Source organism: Homo sapiens, chromosome 16 (assembly GCF_000001405.40).
Source record: "Homo sapiens chromosome 16, GRCh38.p14 Primary Assembly".
Taxonomy (NCBI): Eukaryota; Metazoa; Chordata; class Mammalia; order Primates; family Hominidae; genus Homo; species Homo sapiens.
The window spans coordinates 17265634-17291359 of NC_000016.10; the positions used below are offsets into that span (position 1 = coordinate 17265634).

The 25726-nt window shown below is 46.6% G+C and overlaps 1 protein-coding gene across 3 annotated transcripts in view, besides 1 other annotated feature; it reads right to left on the minus strand.

Annotated features, from left to right (window-relative positions):
• Positions 1-25726, minus strand: part of XYLT1 (xylosyltransferase 1) — a 369192-nt gene that overhangs the window by 163865 nt on the left and 179601 nt on the right. The gene's annotated exons all lie outside the window — the stretch shown is intronic.
• Positions 685-1556: an enhancer, noted in NCBI's record as "H3K4me1 hESC enhancer chr16:17360175-17361046 (GRCh37/hg19 assembly coordinates)". NCBI's record gives its function as "activates a minimal SCP1, AML or CMV promoter by ChIP-STARR-seq in naive and primed H9 embryonic stem cells {active_cell/tissue: H9 hESC(naive and primed)}" and the evidence as "EXISTENCE:reporter gene assay evidence [ECO:0000049][PMID:30033119]".

A 25726-nucleotide genomic window follows, 5' to 3' on the forward strand; every position in this document is an offset into this window, starting at 1 on the left:
CCTTGGGCATGTTTAGAGTCAATTTCAATCAGGTAGAAATATGCTAAACATAATATGGCTCCGAGAAGCAGGTTACCTGACCCACGCTGCTGCTGCAAAGACACGTGGGTCTGTTTCCATTTTTCCCAGGTTCTCTTGGTTCAGGATGAATCAATACTTAGTCTACTGAATCCTGGCCCCTTGCTCCCATTTCTGAGGGGTGGGGGTGGGTTGCCGTGATTTTTAAACTATCCACCTTTGCTCTTATTGTTTATGTAGGAGAAGACCTGGGTACTAGTATTGCATTAGCTGATGTCCAATTTTCTTATCTGTAAAATGATGTGTCCCGAATGTGTGTTACTAACCATTCTGAGTTAGTTATTAATCAATATATTCAATGAACAAAATTCTGCCACTTCAGCTCATTAAAACAATTCGATGGACCTTAAGAGACCAGGAACTGAGGACAAAATGGAAGCTTCAAAGCGCATCCCGTCTGCAGCCCTATCCCTCTATTATCGTCTATAGCAGCACACTGAGATTCAGAGGTCTGGACTCAGGAAGAAGTGAGTTTGATTCCTCCCTTCTCCATTTGCTGGGGTTCTTCAAGCTGGGACAGAACATTTCGCCTCTCTTTGCCTCAGTTTCCTCATCCATCCCAGAGAGCCGAAGATGGCACCTACTTCCCAGGGACTGAATCGATCAAGCATAGAAGATAGTGCCTGACACGTCCAAAGTGCTTAAGAAACACGTATGTCTTAGGTTCCGTTCCAAGCCTGTTGCATGTACTAACTCATTTAATCTCCATGATGAGCTGATAAAGAAGACGCTATATTTTCTACCCATTTTTCAGATTGGAACATTAAGGTTCAGGGAGGTTAAATGACTAAGTCCACACACCTAGGAAACAGAGGAGCCAGGATTTGAACCCAGGCTGTCTAGGTCTGGAGGTCATGCCTTTCAATACCCCACTGCCTCTCCGCAGCTATTAGGAATAGGGACAGGGCCAAAGGGAAACCCCAGCCAGGTGCACTGCTCACACATGAGGGCGCCTGGCCCACCCGCTCATCGTGATCAGTTTACGGCTTCCTTTTGTGCCATGTGCACGCACAGCCGGCTGGGTAGTTATTTGGTGTTGAACTCAGTGTCCGAGGCTTCGTTCCAATCACCAAGGCTACCAAGGCCACTGGGAGGGACAAACAGGGAGAGGCCTGCACCTGCTTCCAAAAGGACCTCCGTGCCAGGGTAGGCGAACGGTGGAAGCACAGTGTGTGTGGCTGTACCAATTAGAACATGCAATTACCCAGGCTGCCAATGCAAATAGACCTAACAGAGGCCCCTCGTCCAGCTCATCTGCATGCACAAAAGGTGGCTGGCCAGCACTTAGAAACCCGTGGACCACGCTGGACGCAGGCAGGCCCTGCTTTAACAGAACCCTAAGTAAAAAGCCCTTTGCAATGTAGCATCATGTTAATGGGATGCAAAACAGCACAGGGTGAGGCAGGAAGGAGTGAGACTGATAGGGCTGGGTTGGAATCCAGTCTCTGCTCCTTAACTCTGAGACGGAGGGCAAGAGGTTTAACCTCTCAGAGCCTCATTTTTCTCATCTACAAAAGAAGGGGGTAAGAAGACCTACTTTGCAAATGTAAGGTGGGGATTAACTAATATGTCATGCACATATAATTCTATTTAACAAAACAACATTGGGTGAGAGGCTTGATACATGTTAAGCACTCAAGTGGCAGCAGGATGATATTTTAAGCTAGCGCCTTGTCACTTGATGAGCAAGTCTGAGTCTTTTGTTTGTTTGTTTGAGACGGAGTCTCGCTCTGTCGCCCAGGCTGGAGTGCAGTGGTGCGATCACGCTCATCGCAAGCTCCGCCTCCCGGGTTCACGCCATTCTCCTGCCTCAGCCTCCCGAGTAGCTGGGACTACAGGCGCCCGCCACCAAGCCCGGCTAATATTTTTTGTATTTTTTAGTAGAGACGGGGTTTCACCATGTTAGCCAGGATGGTCTCAATCTCCTGACCTCATGATCCGCCCGCCTCAGCCTCCCAAAGTGCTGGGATTACAGGCGTGAGCCACCACGCCCGGCCAAGACTGAGACTTTTTGGAAAGGCAGAGTGTTGAGGCACAGTGGGTTGAAATCTGGACCCTGGCCTTTGCTCACTGTGTGGCCCAGGGCACAGTGCCTAACTTTGTCTGCCTCAGTTTCCTTCTCTGTAAAATGGGGACAATAATGAGTACCCAATCTAATGAGGCTGTTATGAGAATTAAGAGTCAATGAATTTAAAACACTTAATACCTAGAACTTAATAAATATTAGGTATAATTTATTAAAATAGAATTAATGATTGCAATGGTGACTTAAAGTGGTTCTTAAAGTGTGGTCTGGGAACTGTTGGGGGTCCCTGAGGCCTTCTCAGGGGATCTTTAATGACAAACTATTTTCACGATAATATAAAGACATTATTTTCCTTTCTCGCTTACTCTCTCATGAGTGTACAGTGGAGTTTTCCAGAAACTCCACTGCACGTCATACTGCATCAGAAATCAGAAGCAAATGTGAGAATCTAGCTATCTTCTATTAAGCCAGGTGTTACAGAGATTTGCAAAAAATGTAAAACAGTGCCTCCCTTCTTCCTAAATTTGTTTTCGTTGGGGAAAAATATGCATACTTTTCATAAATATATTTTATATACACAAGTAATAGGTTATTATGACTGTTTTTAAGTGAATTAATAAACATTTTAAGAATGCCTTAGTTTAAATATTACTATATAGGAAGTAATTGATAGCACCTACCTAAGCCAAAGCTCTTTGGTGTTCCTCAATAATGTTTGAGACTATACAGCAATCCTGAGACCAAGTTTGAGAACTACTGACATAATACATAAGTACAATCAGAAATATTTACTGATTATTAAAATTAAAAGTTTAGGATTCTTTTATGTAGGCTGTTTTGCTACATGCCAAGCCTTTTGATTTGTATTTTACTTCCATACACAATACACACACACAGAACAGATAGAAATCGAAGTTGAGTGATAAATACTTTTTTTTTTTTTTTTTTTCTGAGACGGAGTTTCGCTCTTTGTTGCCCAGGCTGGAGTACAGTGGTGCAATCTCGGCTCACCGCAACCTCCGCTTCCCGGGTTCAAGCGATTCTCTTGTCTCAGCTTCCCAAGTAGCACGGATTACAGGTGCCCGCCACCATGCCCGACTAATTTTTGTATTTTTAGTATAGACAGGGTTTCACCATGTTGGCCAGGCTGGTCTCAAACTCCTGACTTCAGGTGATCTGCCTGCCTTGGCCTCCCAAAGTGCTGGAATTACAGGCGTGAGCCACTGCGCCCAGCCGATAAATACTTTCCTATAGAGAGAGGAACCCAGGCCCCTCAAGTCCTGAATCATCCTCAGGGAGGAAGAATGACCTGCTGTCAAGAGTTAGTCCTTGATCAAACTCTAGTCAGCCTCCTCTGCCCCCTTTTTCTACTGGGCCTCTCAGCTTTACCTATAAAGACTTGAATGAAATGCTAACGTTGTTTTTCTTTTTCTTTCTTTCTTTCTTTTTTATTTATTTATTTTTTGAGACAGGGTCTCATTTTGTTCCCCAGGCTGGAGTACAGTGGTATGATCACGACTCACTGCAGCCTCAACCTCCTGACCTCAAGCGATCCTCCTGCCTCAGCCTCCTGAGTAGCTGGGACTACACAGGCTTTCACCACTATACCCAGCTTTTTAAATTTTTTGTAGAGACAGGACCTTGCTATGTTGCCTAGGCTGGTCTCAAACTCCTAGGCTCAGGCAATCCTTGGCTTCCTAAAGTGCTGAGATTACAAGCGTGAGCTACCACGCCTGGCCTGAAACACTAACATAGTTTCTCACAGCTCAAGGCAACATCCCTGGGATGACCCCAGCTCCTGCTTAAAGTGACTGCTTTAGAAAACTCAAGGCTGCCAAAATAATTTACTGTTTGTTCCAGCTAACACCTCTAGACAGGGCATCATCTCCCAGCCTCTGTAAGAGAGCAGGAGCCACACTTCATAAACAGCAGTTAGCAAACCCATTTGAGTCACACATAGACCAACCCTCCCTTCCTGCTTTTGGTAATTCTTCACTTCCCTGAGTCCACTGAGCTCATCTCCCTTCCCTCCCTCCCACCTCTCTCCTTCTCCCTTTATTATTATTATTATTATTATTATTATCATTATTTTGAGATGGAGTCTCCCTCTGTTGCCTAGGCTGGAGTGCAATGGCATGATCTCTGCTCAGTGCAACCTCCGCCTCCCGGGTTCAAGCAATTCTCCTGCCTCAGCCTCCTGAGTAGCTGGAATTACAGGCGTGTGCCACAATGCCCAGCTAATTTTTTTTGTATTTTTAGTAGAGATGGGATTTCACCATGTTGGTCAGGCTGGTCTCGAACTCCTGACCTCGTGATCCACCTGCCTTGGCCTCCCAAAGTGCTGGGATTACAGGCGTGGGCCACCGCACTCTGCTTCCTTCTCTCTTTAAAACACCCAGTCACCTCTGAACAAATCCAAGTTGAGTTCAGTTCCATGCTGGATGCTTTTCCTATTGCAACAGGCATTACTGATTAAATGTGCCCTTACCCCTTTCATAGGGTCTGGCTTTGTTTATGTTTGACGCAGCCCAAGGCCACCTAGCCTGGACCTCAAGCCTACAAGGCTAAGTCCTTGGGGTAAAAACCAAAGAGCCCAGCAAAGCGTGCTCAGAGCCCAGCCCCTGACTTAACCCACTCCCCTCTTCCCAACCCCACCAGGGGGACATGACAGTGACAGTCACAGCGCTCAGAGCACCCAAGGGACTGCAGGCAGGTGGCAGGGAAAGATCTGAACTGGCATCTCCTGGCTCTTTCCCTATCAGCATAAGAGACAGCTGTGTGGTACAGAGATACACAGCAGAGGGCGAAATAATGGCAGAGGAGAAAAAGACGAAAAGGAAGGAAATGCAAGAGAAAATGGAACGAGAAGAAGAAACAAACATCAGCTATTGTTTACTATGTGCTGATTACCTACCAGGCACGGAGCTAAGCCCGTGGCTTGGCATCGCTATTCATTCCTCAAAATTATCTCAAAAAGTAGGTCAGGGGTCAGCAAAACACCCTACCACCTGCTTTTGTCAATAAAGTTCTTCCAGGACACAGCCATGCCCATTCGTGCACACACTGAAGGTGGTGCTTTTGTGCTAGGACGGCAGAGTTGTGTAGCTATGACAGAGACTACATGCCCAGAAAAGCCAACATCTGGCTCTCCGCAGAAAAAATGAATGCCCCTTCAAATGGGGCCAGTGAGGCTGAGCCAGGCTTGCCCAAGGTCACTCGGTGGGTAAGAGGCAGGGTCAGAAGTGACGCACAGGAGTCAGACTCCAGAGACAACATGAGGTTGCAAAGTCAGACCCAAGGACAGAGGGAGAGAGAGCAGAGCCTTCCAGAAATGACAACAACCATGTCTGTTTTGGAACAAAATGCCTCACACACAGAAGAGCTTTTCTATGGAGAGAGGCCTCCTAACTGTTTTTTGTTTGTTTGTTTGTTTGTTTGTTTTTAAGTGTCCCGAAGGCTGGCCTCTTCTTCGTTACTATTTGAACACAGTTTGCCTCTAATTAATTGCAGCATTCCATTGCGTTATTCCACAGTTATGGCCACAATACCCAAAGATCCAGAGAGAAAGGGGGTGTGGTAGAGACACAGAGAGAGAGACACACAGAGAAAGACACAGAGAGAGAGAGACACAGAGAGACAAAGAGAGAGACACAGAGAGAAAGATACAGAGAGAAAGATACAGAGAGAGACACAGAGCAAGAGACACAGAGAGAGAGACAGAGAGGGAGACACACACACAGATAGGCACAGAGAGAATGTGAACAACCCAGTCTTGCTTTAATAATAAAGCCTTCTGCGTACCTCTCAGGCAGGGTTTCTCAAGGACAGCGCTGTTGACATTTGGGGCTGGATAACTCTTTGTTTTAGGGGCTATCTTGTACATTGCAGGGTATCTAGCAGCATCTGTGAGCTTTACCCACTAGACCCCAGTCATGTGCCCTTGTTACAACCAAAAATGTCTCCAGACCATTGTCAAATGTCTCCTGGAGTAGGAGTGGGGCAAAATCACCTTCCCACCCCCGACCCCTGCTGGGAACCAGGGCTCAAGGGCCCATACTGGCCGATCTCAGCTGCTCAAATCCTGTTCCCATTCAGAAACAGCCTTTCTTTCCCTCATTTTCCAACAGAAACAGACCCTGGCATCCAGCCAGAGCAGTCAGAATAGGAGAGAGGCTGGTATGAAGAGAGCTGGCTGGAGAAAGGGCCAGAGTTAACCAAGGAAGGGTATTCCAGAGGGGACAGAGGGAGGAGGCTGGCTGGGGTGACCAGGGAGAAATGGCAGCTGCATGAGGAAAGCGGGAGAAGTTAGGGTTCCCGCTAGGGAAGGATGACACAGAAGAGGAGGGACACATTCATTTGGGCAGTGGATAGTCTTTGAGTTGATGGCATGTCTTTTAATTTATTTTTTGTTGTTGGTTTTTTTTTTTTTTTTTTTTTTTTTTGAGACAGAGTCTCGCTTTGTCACCCAGGCTGGAGTGCAGTGGCACGATCTTGGCTCACTGCAACCTCGGCCTCCAAGGTTCAACAAAATCCTCCCACCTCAGCCTCCCAAGTAGCTGGGATTACAGATGCGCATCACCATGCCCGGCTAATTTTTTGTACTTTTAGTAGAGACGCGGTTTCACCATGTTGGCCAGGCTGGTCTCGAACTCCTGACCTCAAGTGATCTGCCTCCCTTGGCCTCCCAAAGTGCTAAGATTACAGGCTTTGAGCCACTGCGCCCGGCCATGTCTCTTAATTTAAGCCAGAAGCCACAACCGGGACCAATGGCTCCTTCAGGCACACAGGTGTCTGGTTCACTCTGTAGACTGTTTTCATTTGTTTAACTTAATCTCGGCCCACATTTCAAAATCTAGAGATTTCATCTAAAACTTTGGATTTCTGCCCCTTCTGGAAACATCAGGGACCTGACAACACTGAGCTTAGATTTCTACGCATGACAGTTGTCTTGAGGCTAAGTAGCGGTCCCATGGTCTCCAGAAGGGGCATCTGCTCTGTCCGGCCCGGCCAGTGTCCCCTTAGCCCTCTGGCATGTCTGCACGCGGTGACACTGCTTCCCACCAATGACACAGGCTCTTCCGGGAGGCCTTCTACCTCCTGAGCTTTGCCTCGGAGATCTCAGAACCCCAAAAGATCCTTGTATTCCAGAGTGTTTGATGGAGGTGGCATTGTCCCTAATGAGGTGTTCTGGAAGCGTGTGGTGGCATTTCCAGTTATCACAATGATTGGGGGATGCTGTTGGCAATGAGTGGGTGGGAGAACATCAGAAACCCAGCAGGACAGGGGAACACTCGTGGCTGGACAATGAAGAGCTGTCCTGCATCCTGCACATCTTCTGAACGTCCCCAGATGTCCTGTGCGTAAACAACTCATTTATAATTATCCAGGCCAGGAGCCTAACTTAGATTTACATATGATACAACATTATTATGAATGGTTTTAACATAGCTGAATTTTCTAGGAAAGTAACTACTGTTTCACTCAAGAAGAGATTTTATATCACTTAGTTTGACCACAGTTTCAGAAAATTACATCATCAAAGGCCACACAAGCTGTGGCTGTGAGTCACCAACACACACATCCATTCCCCGCCTGCATTTGTAACTACTGAATTCTCACTGACTCAATACGCAGTAGCTGACCTCTTCATGTATCCTCCAGCCCCTTGCAACCAAGTGTGGACCACTGGCCAGCAACATCTGCATCACCTGGGAACGTGTTAGATGTGCAGAATCTCAGGCCCCAGCCTGGACCACAGGAATCAGGGTCTGCACATTAACAGCATCCCCAAGCAATTCGTCTGCACATCAAAAATTGAGAAGTACGCCAGGCATGGTGGCTCATGCCTGTAATCCCAGCACTTTGGAAGTCCGAGGTGGGCAGATCACTGGAGTTCAGGAGTTCGAGGCCAGCCTGGCTAACATGATGAAACCCTGTCTCTACTGAAAATATCAAAATTAGCCAGTTGTAGTGGTGGGTGCCTGTAATCCCACCTACTCGGGAGGCTGAGGCAGAAGGATCGCTTGAACCCGGGAGGCAGAGGTTGCAGTGAGCCAAGATCATGCCACTGCACTCCAGCCTAGGCGTCACAGTGAGAATCTGTCTCAAAAAAAAAAAAAAAAAATTGAGAAGTGCTAATGTTGTTGCACCCATCATTCATTCGGTCAGTCAGTCAGTCATTCGTTTATTTTGGAGACAGGGTCTCGATCTGTCGTCCAGGCTGGAGCGCAGTAGCATGATCTCGGCTCACTGCAACCTCTGCCTCCCGGGTTCAAGTGATTCTCCTGCCTCAGCCTCCCAAGTAGCTGGAATTACAGGTGCACGTCACCATGCCTGGCTAATTTTTGTATTTTTAGTAGAGACAGCGTTTCACCATGTTGGCCAGGCTGGTCTGGAACTCCTGACCTCAAGTGATCCACCTGCCTCAGCCTCCCAAAGTGCTGGGATTACAGGCATCATCATTTAAATAATAAAACATATTATCTGTTTATAAATTGCTGTCATATATTTCTTCTTCATACTATTTTAGCAGTCTATTGATCTTTTTTAGAGTTGTGGGTGTTTAAGTAGGATAGAATAAGGCTGGATTTCATTTCTGGTTGGGTGAAAGGAATGTTTTAAAAGATTTGTGACATTGAGCAGGGCTGGGTCTGCTGGGGTTAAAATCACAGGTTTATTCATTCCACATATGTTATTTGGGTGTCCACTCCCTGACAGATGGGGCAGGGGAAAAGGATATAGGAAGGGGAACTAAAGTATGCTTCCTGCTGTTGGTGGAATTCTGAGAAAAGAGAGGAAAGTAAGTATGAATATAAGTTATTTTAATATAGGACCAAAAGGGAGTGTAGGGATGGGTGTGCTCAGGATTTGAATTTCATCAAGGGTGTGGAGCCTCACATGGTCTGGGGTCCAAGGAGAATGGAGGAGACTTCACAGAGAAAGCAGTTTTCCAGCCTCATCTTGAGAAGAAAGGAGCAAGACAGACAAAGGAAAAAAGGGCTTTCCAGGCAAGGGCAAAGCATGTGCAAAGGTGTGGTGAGAGGACCAGCCCAACTCCTTTTATAATAACAACGATCCCAGCTAACACTTAGTGAACATTTACTCTAATGACTGAGCTACACACTTTATATAGATTATCTTTAAAACTCTCAGAGCAGGGCCGGGCACGGTGGCTCACATCTGAAATCCCAGCACTTTGGGAGGCTGAGGCGTGGGAATTACTTAAGCCCAAGAGTTCAAGAGTAGCCTGGCCAACATGGTGAAACCCTGTCTCTACTGAAAATACAAAAATTAGCTGGGCGTGGTGGTGTGCGCCTGTAATACCAGCTACTCGGGAGGCTGAGGGAGGAAAAACGCTTGGACCTGGGAGGTGGGGGTTGTAGTGAGCCAATATTGCGCCACTGCACTCCAGCCTGAGCAACAGAGGGAGACTCCATCTCAAAAATAAACAAACACATCAACAAACAAAAAACCCCAGAACAACTCTATTGGGTAGGTGCAATTAGTATCCACATTTCACAGGTGAAAGTATGGAGGCATAGAGAGGTTAAGTAACTTGCCTCAAATCACACAGCATGGTTATAAACTTACATTGTTACTCCTGTGGGCTGTTAACAACTACGCTTGGCTCAGTGCCCCACAGGTTTCTAAAGTCCCCCCCAGGAGGAAACACCACTTCCACCAAAGGCCCTGGAAGAAAGCAATCACTAAGTGAGCTGATCTTTGGCCTGGGGTGGGGAAGGGAGGAGTCCAGAAGTAAGAGAGTTATCTGAAAAGCCTGGGTTCCTGGTGTAAAGTCCTCTTGCCTGGCTGCCTGTGATTCATTCTCTACCTCTGTTATTTGAGATTCATTTCTAGGTTGGTGCCACGCCCCTGACTCCTGAAAGCCACAAACCACAATATTCTATTTGTCCCCTGGTTTTATTTCCCTATACACCTTCTCTGTCTCTCTTGATTCAACTCCCAGGAAGCCCTCTTGTCCTAACCATCATCCTTCCTCCCCAACATTCTCCGATCCAGGTCCTCTGGGACGGGGCACTTAAGGAGACAAATGGGTCTCCTGCTGTTGAAAAACACCCAGTTTTCAAACTCATCCTTTGCCTGTGTGGGCCCTATCCCCCACACACACCCTGCCACAGTGGGTAATGAATGGTTCACTTGTAAGCTCATTACCGCAGGGCCTCTAAAGAAATGGAAATGCTCACGGAGCCAGAGACATAAATAAGGAGAGGCGCCTGTAAATAAATAAATATAGATGCACATACACACACACAAACCCAGTTAATTTCTATCATCTGAAAGCCGGAACCATTTGGGGTGGGGAGAGAGAGAAAGAAATAGGCTCCTAATATTGCCATCCATGTGATTTCAGAACTGAGCTTCCCCAGAAGCTGCTAATAAATTATTTTTACTATGCAGAGGTACAAATGAATATGCTGCTGTCACCCCCTAAATCTCCTTTATGAGCATGTGTTTGCCTTGGCCCAACCTACTGGGGACAGGGGCTTCCGAGCAAGTTTTCATTGGCCAAGTTCCTGAAGGAGGCTGCCATCTTGAAGGTCTGCTCTCTGTAAGCTGCGGGTGCCCCACTGGCACTTCCTGTTTATGCCTGAGGTTGGCATGGCCTGCAGGACATCCAATGTCGATTGGAAGGCCACAGGAATCAAAGTGACAGCAGTGCCTACACTCAAGCTTTTGGAAAATGATTTCTGCAGCCTGGACTGAGAGCTGCTGTTCACAAGATGGAATGTACCCCTCTTGGCCATATACTTCAATAGGCCCTGACATTTTCTACCAAGTTTCAGGGTGGATATGCAAAAACCTCATCACTACCAACTTTCGCGTGCACTGTCATCATCCAGAAGGAAACTCTGGTCACTCCCTTTGGAGGCAGTGTATCCAATGTCCAGTTCTCCAACTGTTCAGAGCAAGAAGTAGGCCATGGAAATCATGGTGATCATGATATGCTACCAGGACACGATGGGCACCGTCCGATGAAGTTGTTATAAATGTATGCCCTGGAGTCACTCTTGAGGATCTGAAATCCAGCTCTACCACTTCCCAGCTGTGTGACCTAGGGAAAGTCGTTTACCCTCTCTGAGCCTTGCTTTCCTCCTACGTAAACTATCTATAATATCAAAACCTCGCAGGGCTAAAAAGATACGCTGACTTAACCAGTGCAAAGACACAGTTCAGAATAGTTAGCAGTTAATAAAAGGTAGCGGTTACCCACATCATTTCATGCGAACTCCTACAACGACTTTTCATACATTCATTCACAGATATTTACTGAGTGCCAAGTACATCTTAGGTGCTGGGGACATGTCTGTGAATAAGACAGACAGATGCCTGCTCCTATCGAGCTTATATTTTAATAGCATGAGACAGACAACCATCCTACCAACAACTCAATAAACAGATTCTATCACAATGTTGGGCATCTGTTATCTATTTTTATCTATTTTATTTTTATAATTTCAACTTTTATTTTAGATTCTGGGGATCCCTGTGCAGGTTAGTTGCATGTGTGTATTGTGTGATGCTGAAGTATGGAGTATGATTGACCACTTCACCCAGGTAGTGAGCGTAGTACCCAATGGTTAGTTTTCTAACCCTTGTCCCCCTCTAGAAGTTCTCGGTGTCTACTGTCACCACCTTTTTGCTTTTTGTTTTTCCAGACAAAGTCTCTGTCATCCAGGCTGGAGTGCAGTGGCGCGATCTCCAATCACTGCAACCTCTGCCTCCGGGGTTCAAGAGATTCTCCTGCCTCAGCCTCCTGAGTAGGTGGGATTACAGGGATGCACCACCACACCCAGCTAATTTTTGTATATTTAGTAGAGACGGGGTTTCACCATGTAGGCCAGGCTGTTCTCGAACTCCTGACCTCCTGTGATCCACCTGCCTCGGCCTCCCAAAGTGCTGGGATTACAGGGGTGAGCCCCCGGGTTCAACCTACTGTTTTCATCTTTATGTTCACGTGTACTCAATGTTTAGATCCTAATTCCAAGTGAGAACATGTGGTATGTAGTCTTCTGTTCCTGCGTCATTAATTTGCTTAGGATAATGGCCTCCAGCTGCATCCATGTTGCTGCAAAGGACCTGATTTTGTTCTTTTGTATTACCCACTGTTCCCAGATGTGGGAACTGAGGCTCACAGCGGTTATCTCAGCAGGTTTATGAGCCAGAGTTGTCCCACCCAGGAGAGTTTTGGAAGTGAGAGGAGCAACCAGCAAGAGAGGCCGGCTGCCTGGCTGACAGGTAAAAGCTTTGTTTCCTCCTCCTCCTGCCCCTCCTGCCATGATTGACAGAGTGAGACGCCTCCCTGCGAACATGAGGCATCTAGTTCGGGTAGACAGTTTGCTACTGGAGAAGTTCCTTATTCAAGGGGCTGAGCAGTAGTGGCACCTTTTCGTGTATGACCAGCCAGCCGTGCCCAGACTTCTGAAGTCTGGCTGGATTCAGACACCGAACTCCCTTTAGTCCTCAAAGGACCCATGAAACACCCAACACAAGGTGGTTCCAAGAGACCCGGTGGACCGCAGTTGTTCAGGCCACTAGATGGCTCTTTCTGTGAAATTTGCAGAGAGCAAGCCGGCAGCTGCACCTTGATACTGAAGCCGGGCTGCTTCCCTTTGGACAGTCAGGACGCATCTCCGAGAAGTTCTTCTTCATTGCCGCAGGTGGGTGGGTCACTACCTCTTCCTTTAAGGGGTATTCCCATTAAGGCTTTTCACTTCAGAGGAGTTTGACAAGGCGAGACTGGGATTTCCACACTGTCTACTAAATCAAAGTCATTGCCATCATGCAACTTTCTGCTAACTTTCCCAGCTTCAAGGGAAAAGTGGAGCTTCATGGAGCTCCACTTCATCATCTGTTGGCTTCACATCATCCCATCAGAGACAAGCTCCATATAACAGCATCTACTGTTTACCCAAGATTTTGCACGATTCTCTTGTTTCATCCTCCCATTTATCTTTGGTGGAGATATTATCCGATGAGATAGAAAAGTAAACTGTGGCACAGAAAGGGGGTTACATGACTCAGGCAAAGTCGCCCAGGAAGCAAGGGGCAAGGCTGGGATCCATCCTAGGTCTGATTCTGAAGCTTGTACTCTTCACTTTACAGCCTCATCTATGCACAGGGAAGATCCTCCTGAGCTCTGCAAGTGTCCAAACTTAGAATGGGCAACCAAGGCTGACTGTGAACATTTCCTTCCTGGTTGGGCTTTAGGAAGAGAAGCGAAATTTGCCTATTACCTCTACACACCTCCTGAGACCAGGAGAATCCTGGGTGACACCAGGCATTCAAGGATTTCATGATACAGTCTCTCCCTCCCTAATGCACCTTTCAGCGTTGCTACTGGGACAGCATTTCCTGTGCCTTTTTAAATTTAATCCTCTTCACAGCCCTCTCAAGAGGCAGCGCGGCTCTGTGATCAGGAGCATGAATGCTAAAGCCAGACTACCTGGGTTCTCAACTTAGCCGTGCCGTTTTGAAGCTGTGTGACCTTGGGCAGGTTTCCCAGCTGTAGCCAGCTCATGGAGTTGAAATGAGAATTAAGTCAATGTTGGGAAAACACTTAGGACAAGGCCTGGAACACAAATTGTAGCTGTTACTAGTATGATCATTAATAGTAGTATGTCCTTTTTCAACATTTGAGTAAACAGAGGCTCAGAGAGGTGAAGACACTTCCTTAAGGCCACACAGATCAGGGATTTAAGCCATAGCACCAGACCTGGGAGCCAAGCTAATATTCCCTCTCCAACACAGCCCCTTCAAGTCCCAGGCTGGAAGTGAGCTGCCCTTCTTAGCAGTGAAACACCTAGAAAATTGGCTGACAATTTATCGAGGGCGTCTTCAACAAGTGTGTCATTTTGGATACACTGTGGGCTAACTATTGGTGCAGAGAGTGGGCTGAGGGGTCAGCTTCTTCAGCATCTGGCTTCATCCATCTCTGGGTCATTGATGGCTTCTGTCAAGATGGCCAAAGAAGACCACGAGAGTCAGGCTAGGCCTCCTCCTCTGCATATTAATTACAGCCAAGGCAAAATGTGGCCACAGCAGCAGTTAGGGGACAACAGGACCCTGCAAGTCCTCAAGCAGTCAGGCAGAGGACACCTTGGGCACCCCGCCCTCTGCCCAGCACAATCTTCCGTGGCACTGCCGAGGACCTCAGCAAGATGCAGACCTCCAGGGATGTCAGCCTGTCTCCTCCTCTAGGTCTGTCCTCTTTCTGTCCCTCTGTTTGTCCCTCTCCCCTCTCTCAACCACCTCTCCATCATTCTGCAATCAACATCCTGCCCATGGTCAGGGATATCTAAAAAGCTATCCAGGCTGGGCGTGGTGGCTCATGCCTATAATCCCAGCATTTTGGGAGGCCAAGGCAGGCAGATGACTTGAGGTCAGGAGTTTGAGACCAGCCTGGACAACATGGCGAAACCTCGTCTCTAATAAAGCTACAAAAATTATCCAGGCATGGCGGCAGCACCTGTAATCCCAGATACTCGGGAGGCTGAGGTGGGTGAATCGCTTGAACCCAGGAGGAAGAGGTTGCAGTGAGCCAAGATCGTGCCACTGCACTCCAGCCTGGGTGACAGAGCAACACTCTGTGTCAAAATAAATAAATAAATAAAAAGCTATTCATCTTCTGAAGAATGGAGGTGGTCAGATTTTGTCTTATTTTCTGAAACATACTTCAATATTTTCCTAATACAAATATGTGTCAGATATAAAAAATTCCAATACAATCTAGATTTATGAAATAATTCAAAATGTATTAAAATGTACAGAAAAATAATACAGTGCCCTTCCATGTACCAATTTTGTTATGTTTTATTCAATTATTTAAAGAAATTAGACTTTGCAGAGACAACTGGGAAGTTCCTCCCAGCTTTCAACCACCATCTCCCAACCCAGAGGACACTTCTATCCTTCACATTCATGTATTTATATTTTTAGTTAATACGTATGTGTTCACATACAATGTATAGTGTTATTTTGTGTATCTGTAAGTTTGACAAAAGGGCACCGTGCTGTAAATATCTCCTTTGCGTTTGCTTGTGTCATTCAATATTAGCATTTCTACCCCCATCTCCTCTCTCCTTTTATTTTCTCTCTTCTCAATTCTTCTTCCCTCAGGTAACATGATGCAGAAGGAATGACAGCATTTAGTTCACCAATTCTCAGCCTTGCCTTCCCATTGGACTAATCTGGGAGCCTTCACAAAATGCAGATGCCCAGGTGCCCACACGGGAGATACTGGTTTAGTGGGTTGGGGCTGGGCCTGGGAATCACGATTTCTAAAAGCCCCCAGACAGCGAGGGGTAAGCAACTGGATTTGGCCCCTCTTTCAGCTTTGGGTACCTGCTGTGAATCAAGGTCACTCCTGCTCAGAGGCCAGGTGAAGGAAGCATCTGATAGGCTGGCCTGCAGCATCCAGGGGAGCGGCTGAAGGACAGGTACTAGAGCTGGAGGCAGGCATCAGAGCCCCAGTGCCCGGTCACGCCCGGGGTTGTGACTCTGCTTGGCTCCATGCAGCATCCAGGGGAGTGGTGGAAGGACAGGTACCAGAGCTGGAGGCAGGCATCAGAGCTCCGTTGCCTGGCCACACCCGGGGTTGTGACACTGCTTGGCTCCATGGTACTCTGTGGACCCTGCTCCCACCATCTGTAAACTGAGTGTGCTGGGTGAGGGCAGTACTTCCTAACACTTCCTCCCTTCACTGGATAATTTTACTTGGCTCACATTTAAACATAAACATTTATGTTGTTAAAAAAAATGATGGTCATGATTCCTAAAATTCAAACAAAAGGAAAAAGGAACAATGCTATGGAACCCTGGCTAGACCAAGTTGCCTGGCTAAGGCTCTGAACCCAGAGAGTCCTTTGTCTGTTGCACAGGGAAATGTGTAAGTGTTGGCAAGGTGTTAAGGACATCAGCACCGTGCTGAGACTTTCTCATTGGTTTAATCCAAGAGATTGCAGGAGCACTGGAAAGGCAATCATTTCCTCCCTGGATGATTCAAAGTTATTTAATATCCACAGAATCCCCGCAAATCATCTTGGGTGCCACCGTGGGCCACAAACACTTCTTGGAAACACATGGACCTGGGTCAGTCCCTCTGGTCCCTTATCACATGGATGCTGTAGGGTTCTATGGTTCTATGGGCCATACCTGAGATTCCATTACAGGGGAATGTCACTCCCCTCCCTTCTCTCTCAGTCTCCCAGAATGGGGATGGATGAAGAGATCCAGGGTGAGCTATAATTCCCCTCACCCAGCCTTAATCTGGCTGTCTTCCCGGCCAGAGCTCTCCAGGCAACTCCACTTTCTACCTCCAAATAATGATGGTAGTACTAAGTGCAGCACTGACTGTATGCTAGGAACTGTTCTAAGCACCCTGCATGGTCTAGTCCTTTTAAACTTCATGGCAGCCCTAGGGGGCAAACACAGTCAGCACTCCTATTTCTAAAATGGAGAAACTGAGGCACAGGGAATAAAATACCTTACTGAAGACCCTCACCCCAGCCCCCGACTTCCCTACCCCCTGGCCAGTAAGTAGCCACGAACAACTGTACTACAATGCCCTTTTGAATGGCGGGGGTGCTGACAGCTGTCTATTTGCTCTAAAGATGTGGCTGCTTCAGGGAGCAAGTGAGCAGGGGGAGAAAGAGGAAAAGCATTTTTAGAAATTATTTCCGACAGGTGACCACATACTAAAATAACAACATTTGGTTTGCCTTGCTAGCTGGAGGCAAAAATCGGCTCAGGTGGGAGGGTGAGGCTGCAGGCTAAATGCAGACAAGGCTGGCTTGCCCTGAGTTGGCCCAGTTCTAGGAAGGGCACCGGCATTTCTGCCATTAATTGATGCACTGGGAACCCCCAGCTTGGTTTTCTTTAAGGAGAGAAGGAGCTGGGTCTTTCATGGTGTAACTGTGAAAATGAGAACCTCCCAGGGGCTGCAAGACCTGGTTGTATATGGAGTCCAGTGAGCTATTTTAGGGACGAAGTGTAAAATTGTGGAAAACAGTTGTAACACAGGATGGGGTGTGTGTATGAATATTTTTATTGAAAGCAAGAATATTTACTGCATACTTACTATATGCCACTGTTGTAAGGGATTAACCTGCATTACACTATTTCATCCTTGCAAGGATCCTTAGATATAGCTACTATTGCTAACCCCATTTCACAGACAATGAAACTGACACACAGCAATAAGTCACCCCCCCCAAGTCACACAGCTAGTAAGCAGCTCGTTCAGAGCATAAAATCCAGGGCTCATCACCTCCAAACTTCACATATTGCATGCATAGACCCACATTTCCAGAACGCCTAAGAAATTCCCAGTCATCCAGCACGAGTGGATGGAAATGAAGGGGCACATCCCGTCCTCGCTTGGAAGGAAGAAGGAGCTAGCCCTGGAAAACTGACAGACTGGCACGTCTGGAGGCAAAGCCAAGCCAACGGGAGCAGATGGAGCCCAGGCAGCAGATGTTAATACAGTTTGCTTTTTCCATATGCTCTTCTGTTTAGCTGTAATAAGTGAATTGTTCTTTAATATCTGTCAGGAGCTCAAACTCTGAAGGCCGGGGGCAGTCACAGTCACTCAAAAAGACACAAAGGGAAGCTGGCCAGCCGTCTCTTCACATCCCAGAGGAAGGGTGCAGAATGTGAAGAAAGATGCCAAACACAGCAAAGTCCAGGTCTTTGTGTACACACACACGCATGTGCACACATAGGCACACACGCACACACTCCTCGCCTGCCATGACAGTGAGATTCTCACTTGACATTCTAGAGTCTTTGAAATCCTGCCTCAGCGTCCTTCCCACTCAGTAATAACAACTAAGTAGAATTTTCAGATTTTGCCTTTGAAATGACAACAATGAAAGACCCAATTTGAAATGTATAAAGGGCTCCAACGGCTTTGCTCCTTGGGACTTCCAACGCAACCACAACTCATTTCCTTAATCAAGGGCAGCAGGGCCACTGCAGAACCCTGTCTTCTGTCTTAGGATACTTCACGTGTCTTGGGACATCCAGCCCCATCACTATTATCACATAGGGGCGGGGTGTGATGGTGACGTCTGTGAACAGTATTTCTTCAACGATATTTCCATTTGACAACCATGAATTAGGACTCTCATATAGTCTCACCAACTTCATCTTCTTTCTAAGTATCCAGCTGTGATACTGTTATCCGCACTACCACTATACACCCGCCCAGTCAGAGAATAAACACAGAGGGAAGGTCCCCTGGTCCTCACAGTTCCAGCTCAACATAGAGCAGAGGTTGAGTTCTGAGCTAAACCTCAGCATTATCCCTTAAAATCCACGTGACCTTGGGCAAGTTACTTCTGACATTTCTAAGCCTCAGTTTCTTCATCTATTAAATGGAAAGAAATAGCACCTTCCTCCCTCAACAGTCCTGTTGCGAAGATCAAATGTTAAGAAATGCAGGTTAAGTGTTCAGCACAGCAACCGGTACTTAGCAAACACTTACTGAGGAGCAGCTACTATTTTTTTATTATTACTTCTATTTCTCATTCATTCATTCATCCCACTAACACTGGAGCACCTTCTAGGCAACATACATTGTGCTAGGTGCTCAGTAGTGAACAAAACAGATTCAGCTCCTGCCCTAATGGAACTTACATTCTACAGGGGGAGAGATAATAGAGAAATAATAGTTGTCCAATATGATATGACCTGGGGATGAGTACTTTAAAGAAAGATAAGACAGGAGAGAGGCAGCGGATGGCATTTCAGATGGGGTCAGGTAGGAACTCTCTGAGGAGGTAGCATTTGGGTGGCCCAATGGTAAGATGGAGCTTCTCCAAACACATACCGGGCAAAAGGTACCAGGCAGCAGGAATGGTAAAAGCAAAACTCTCACAGCTGGGGATGGTGCTGTGCACCTGTAGTCCCAGCTACTTGAGAGGCTGAGGCAGGGGGATCACTTGAGCCCAGGAGTTCGAGGCTGCAGTGAGCTACGACTACACCACTACACTACAGCCTGAGTGACGGAGTGAGACTCTGTCTCTAAAAATTAAAAATTTAAAAAGCAAAGCTCTCAAGGCAGAAATGGTCTAGGACCAGTCTAGCAGCAGGAAGAGGAAGATGGGGCTGTGATATGGAGAATAGACTCATACAGCACAGGAAAGCAAGATGGGGCTGAACCTGGGTACACAGAGAGGAGAGAAGTCCGTATCTCATTCTAAGTGCACTGGGGAGCCACTGGGGGCTTAAGCAGGAGAGCATGCCAGATCTGACTGATGGATCCTGGAAGAGCCCACTCACCCACTGCTCACAGATGCAGAGAGAGGAAGCAGGGGCAGAAACAAAGGTGGATGCAGCCCTGGCCAAGTCCAGACTGAGATCAGAATGCATTGCCTGGGTGCTGCTCCAGCCTCTTCTCTCCGGGGTGTTGCTGGGGAGGGATGAGGGAAAATGCACAAGTGATGGGAATTTACTTAGAAGTTTCTGGCTGCAAGCTTGGGTGACTAGAATCACCCAGGACCCCATGGTAGTGATGATCTCACACCAGCAAATGGCTTTAAATCAGAATTCAAATGAGTCTGGTAAACCAGGATAAAGTGTGTAATTTAAAGCATCCCGGAAGCCCTGGGAACTTGCGCTAGATGCTTCTCGATCTGCTCTCAGGGGATCTCCAGCATTATTCTGGAGAGATCTGGTAGCAGAATTAATGACTCTGGCATTTCCCACCTGATCTAGGGCTTTGATCCTTCCTGCCCCATGACTGTCTCAGAACCAAAGGTTGTGGGACAATGGGCACTGTGCATGTGCCCAGACCAAGAATCAGCATTTAGGCCTGGCTGCAAATTTCACCATCATGCCCGGGGGCCCTGCTTTCTGCTGATGTTTCAGCCAGGAATGCCAGGCCCTTCACCCCTCACCCTGGCTTGCATTCAAATGACCCCTGCCTCTGTCTCCTTCACCAGACTTTCTCCTCCTCCTCTATGCCTACAGAACACTTTTACCAACTCCACTACAGAACTTTCCACCTGAATTGCTTGTTAACATGGTATAGCCCCCTAAAAATGTGTCCTTCTGAGGAGCAGAACTTATTCAAGTTTATAACCCCCAAGGGTCTAGCCCCAAACCTGGTGTATCTCTGTGTGTGTGTGTGTGTGTGTGTGTGTGTGTGTGTGTGTGTGTGTCCATGTGTGTGTGAGTGAGTGAGAGAGAGAGAGAAAGAGAGAGAGACAGAGAGACAGAGAGAGACTGTGTTATGCCAATATCAACATAAACAGCAGCTAACACAATGGGGGTCTGGGCCCACGTGCCTCTCTGCTAATCACTAACTTTCATGATCTTCTCTGACCCTCACAATAAACCTGTCATAGAGGATCTATTATTACTCCAAACATACTTAGACTCAAAAAGGCTAGGACATTTGCTCAAGGTCCCGGCACTAGTAATTGGTAGGACTGGAATTTGAACCAGGCTCATGTAAGCTCATAAATCAAGACCCTTCTCCACCACACTTACTTGAAGGGGTAAACAGAGACTGAGCAATATGTGGGAGGAGTGGGTGGGAGGCTGGGGAGGGAGGTATGGAATAAATAATCATGGAAGGGGATGGCAGATGGAAATTAGAGAAATTAATACATCCAAGAATGTTCTCAGGGTTTTGGTCAAACCATGGACTGACTCACCAATATAAAGACCACTCTCCTTGTCATCCCAAACCATTCACCTTCAAGTATCCACGGATCTGCACTGTCACTTTCTTAGCCCAGGTCAACCTGTCACCCATGTGGATCCTTGATCAACACAGCACTAAAATTGTATGTAAAACTGGCTTAGCTAATACTCATTAGCTAGCCACACTTAGGCACATTACGTATATTAGCTTCTTGAATCCTCACAACAATCCCCATGGATAGGTATCATCATCATCCTCATCATCATCATCCTCATCATCATCCCCATCCTTGTTGTAAGGTTTTCCAGCAAGCAATGGAAGACGGGGACTTGAACCCAGGTAATCTGCCACCTTCACCACAAAGTATAGCCATCGTTGATTGTGTCCTTACACTGCTCTAAGCATCTCCCCATGTCTTCTGCTTTAAGCAAACTTATGAGATGGGGAGTGTTTTCATTCCAATTTTACAGATGAGGAAACTTACGTTCAGAGTTCAAACCCTGAATTCTGTTCAGGTGTTTGGGGAGGTCAAACCCACCAAACACCACCCAGCCAAGGCCACGATCATTCACTGATCCTGCAGCTTTATGAGAATAATAAAAAAGATTCCCCTTACTCTGGGCAATTGCAGCCCTGAGTCTACAGTATGCCTTGATGACCAGAGTGTAGGTGAATTTTGGCTCCTACTTAACTCCCTCCTGTAGTTATATCCTGAACAAGCATACGCAGAAACACTGCAGCCAGCTAAAAATAGGCAGAACTGAGATTCAAACCCAGGCCTGGCGTGGATCTAGTTTTTCATCATGTAGATGCTCCATCACCCACTCAGACACCACTCCCCCTCTTTTTTTTTAATCCAGTTCAAGAATCAACCCAATCCAAGGCTGCTCAATTAACGCTCAGTGCAGTATCCTCAAGCAGGCAAACGCTCAGAACGTAGACGGATCCCTCTAGATCATACTCCTCCCACCTCCTGGGGCTGTGGCCACTTCATCACAGTCTCAGAAAAAACTCTGGGCTCACAGAAGGTAACTCTGCACCATGAGACAATTTGTCGAATCCTTGCAGCCGGTACCGCATGTGGCCAAATCTCCCCACCCCAATCAGGCAGCCACTTCACACAGTGACCTTTCCTGATCTGCACTGTCAGGCTGCAATTTAGCCATTCTGAGGACTCTGTTGGAGGCTGCTTCAGCCAAAAGCTTGCCTCTGGGGAGCCCTCCCAGGGCCCTGGACTCCGTTCAGATGTCACTTTGCATTAAGGGCCCACTGTGTGGGGCTCCTGGAGAGGAAGAAAGCAAATCTCTGCTGAATGTCCCTAAGACAGAAGTCAAGTGAGGAGCAGGGGAGGCAAAAGAAAGACAGACAGACAGACGCTGGGCATCTAAAGAAGGGGTGGAGGACTGGTAGTTCCAACTGGCAGCAGAAATAATAATACCAGGAGCTTAACATTTACCAATCACTTAGGAAAAAAGATTAATACTAAGTGAGAGTTTAAGATGTGCCAGGAACTCTATTAGGCATAATTTTTCTTTTTTTTTTTTTGAGACAGGGTCTGGCTCTGTTGGCCAGCTGGAGTGCAGCAGCATAATCGTAGCTCACTGCCACCTCAAGTGAGGCTCAAGTGATCTCCCACCTCAGCCTCCCGAGTAAATGAGACTACAGGCATACACCACCAGCTAATTTATTTATTTATTTGTAGTAGAAGATGAGGTCCTACTATGTTGCCCAGGCTGGTCTCAAACTCCTGAGCTCAAGCCATCCTCCCGCTTCGGCCTCCTAAACTGCTGGGATTACAGGTGTGAGCCACTGGGCCCCACCTAGACATAATTCTTCAGGTGGGGGCCGGTAACAGTTACTCCTCCCTTCTCCAATATAAAAATAGTGCAGTGTCCAAGCAGAGAGGCTACAAGATAAATCAATTGCCAGCAAAACCCTTGGTGTATAACTTAGCTATACAGTTTCACTCATGGCAAGAGTAACGGCAGCTGGGATTTCTTACTTACCTCCTACCTGTCAGGGATTGTGTGTGATTCTTTTGTTCTTCTTGGGGCTTGTCTTATTATGCTTATTGTAGACCGACTGTACTGATGGTCCCAAGCAATGGCCTGCTGTATGCTTGCCCTTGGCAATGTGCCCTGCTGCTTCTCCCAAGAGGTTGAGATGACTTGTCCATACCTTGAATATGGGCAGGTCATGCGACCTGCTTTGGCCAAAAGAAGGTAGCAGAGGTGACCCTAAGTTTGGCTTCTCTGTCTTGGAACCCTGTCACTGCCATTTGCTCTCTACTGGAGGATGAGAGACCACGTGGAGGCGAGTCCAAATGACTTTCCTCTCAGTTGAGATAATCCTAGACCAGCTTAGAGGCAGCCAATCTCCAGACATGACAGCCCAACTGAGATCAGGAGAACCACCACTGAGACCAGAAGAACCATCTAGCTCACCCAAAGACTCTTGAACAGTAACAAATAAAAATTTCTTACCGTTTTACCCCACTGAGTGTTGAGGTGATTTGTTAAAACATCCCAAGAATACAATAAATAGATTTTTTTAAAAAACCTGAGCCTCAGAGACATAAAGTCACTTGTCTAAGGCAACCCAGCTGATAAGAGATGGAGCTGGGATTCTACACCATTGTAAGTTTTCATCCACGATGATCTATACCTAGGGTCAAGAAATCATTTTCTGTAAAGGACTGGCTAATAAATATTTTAGGCCTTGTAAGCCATACAGTCTCTGCCTCAACCTCTCAACCCTGCCATTGTAGAGTGAAACCAGTCATAGGGCGTATGTAAATGAATGGTGTGCTGTGTTCCAATAAAACTTTATTTCTAAAAACAGGTGGAGGGCCAGATTTGGCCTGTGAATGGCAGTTTGCTACCTCCTGCTCTAGGTTGCTTCTCTGTATCATCACCATTTGTGCCAGCTTTTTTCCCCTTTCTCTGTCTGTCGCCTCCCTCTTTCCCTCCTCTAGAATTTCCACATAAAATCCCGCAATTGTCTTCTGCCATGTTTATGTTCTACCCTGAGACATGTGACAAGTACCTCTCAACTCAAGGGGCTTTGTTTCCCCAGCGTAAGTGTGTCTCAACTCCCTGATTTCATAAATCTATGTCATTTCCAGAAATCAGTTTGACTGATGTGTTTTCCCAATGTTAGGATGATATCTTTCTGGATTCCCTAGGTATGGGAATTTAAAAAGTTCTGATTGCATTCCAAATCCAAGACCCAACATCATCAGGGTGACAGTTGAGAATGCAAATGACTCCTATTCAGAATATTAAAAACAAAAGCTTCAGTTCTGTACCTAGGAAAATTTGACTGGCTCCAAAAAAAAGTTTGCAAAAAACCAAAATGAAAACAAAACAAACGCAAACATGCAAACAAAACAAAACCCCAAACCCAGAGTGATGCAGAGGAAAGTCTAAGAGCTGTTTCATGATCCCACACACCCCGTCTCTGGGGCAACCTCTCTGTAAGAAGCAAGAAAGGAAGATGACGATGACTTTCTGCAGAGAACAAAAATTTGGCTTGAAGCAAATGAAATCCCAGTGATTTTCCATTTTAAGGATATCTATCTCATCCAAAAAATAAAATGTTATAATAGATTTCATTTTTTCCATCTCTTTCTTGTTCTTTTTGCCTCTTAGCTGTCCTACTTAGAATATCGAACCGTGTTGGCAATCAAAGTAGACTCTGAACTTGGCTACTTTCTCCTCAGTTAAAAGAAAAAGAAAAAGAGGTAGACTTGAGTGTTTAGCAAAGCAGCTCATCCAGTTTAGAGGCTGAAAGCCACATCTTCAAAATTTCAACCAAGGAAAGTTAGGGTTAGTGTCAAACTTTCCATAATTTTTAACAACTTTCTAAGTAAAACTAGAGATGTCTATCTGGACTGACTTTAATTTTAAAAGTCTAAAGCACCAAAGGCAGCGGAAGGTCCATCTCATGTTTCATTACGGTTAAATTCTATTTCCAAGAACCACCAACCTCAGTCCCGGGACCTGGCATGGATGAAGCTATTTCTGGAGGCTGCCATGACTCTTGGAGCCAAGAACAAAGTGGAAGGAGACGCCTTACAGGCAGGGGCCTTCAACCGCATGGAAGTACCAGCAGATCCTGTGTTCAGAATCCCCTACTGTACTCTTAGCTCCCCAAACTGTTGAATCGACCCAAGGAGGTGTCAAAGCCTACCATGGAGCATGCACTTGTAAATGTCTGCAAATGACATGGGCTTTCTCTGTGTTAGATGTGGAATAATCACTACTAACATAATTATCTCCATTATAAAGATGAAGAGACTGAGGCCAAAGTCCAAGGCCCACAGCTAGTGAAGGGCAGAGCTGAGATTCACAGCCAGCTCATCTGACTTCAGGGCCTATCTGAAACATGACAAAATAACTGACTTGGTAAATGATCCTATTAATTTGGGTGATCAGATAGAGGTGGTTACAATGTCCTGGGGTGGATCAACACCCTGGCTCTGCCACCAAATCCTGATCCTCCTCAGGCCACCTGACAATTGTCTTATTTTATTCATTTATTTATTTTTGAGACACGGTCTCTGTCACCCAGGCTGGAGTGCAATGGCGCAATCATATCTCACTGCATCCTCAGCCTCCCAGGCTCAAGGGATCCTCCCACTTCAGCCTTCTGAGTAGCAAGGACTGCAGGTGCACACCACCACACCTGGTTAACTTTTTTTTGGCAGCGACTGGGTTAATATATGATTTAGTGGGCACCACCACACCCAGCTAACTGGCTATTTATGACTTTTTTGTAGAGAAGAGGTTTTGCCATGTTGCCACAGGGCTGGTCTTGAACTCCTGGACCCAAGCGATCTTCCTGCTTTGGCCTCTCAAACTGCTGGGTGTGGGTGTGAGCCATTGTGCCTGGCCTAATTGTCTCATTTTAAAAGAACTTTCATTCAATGAGCAGCATATGTAAGATGTGGG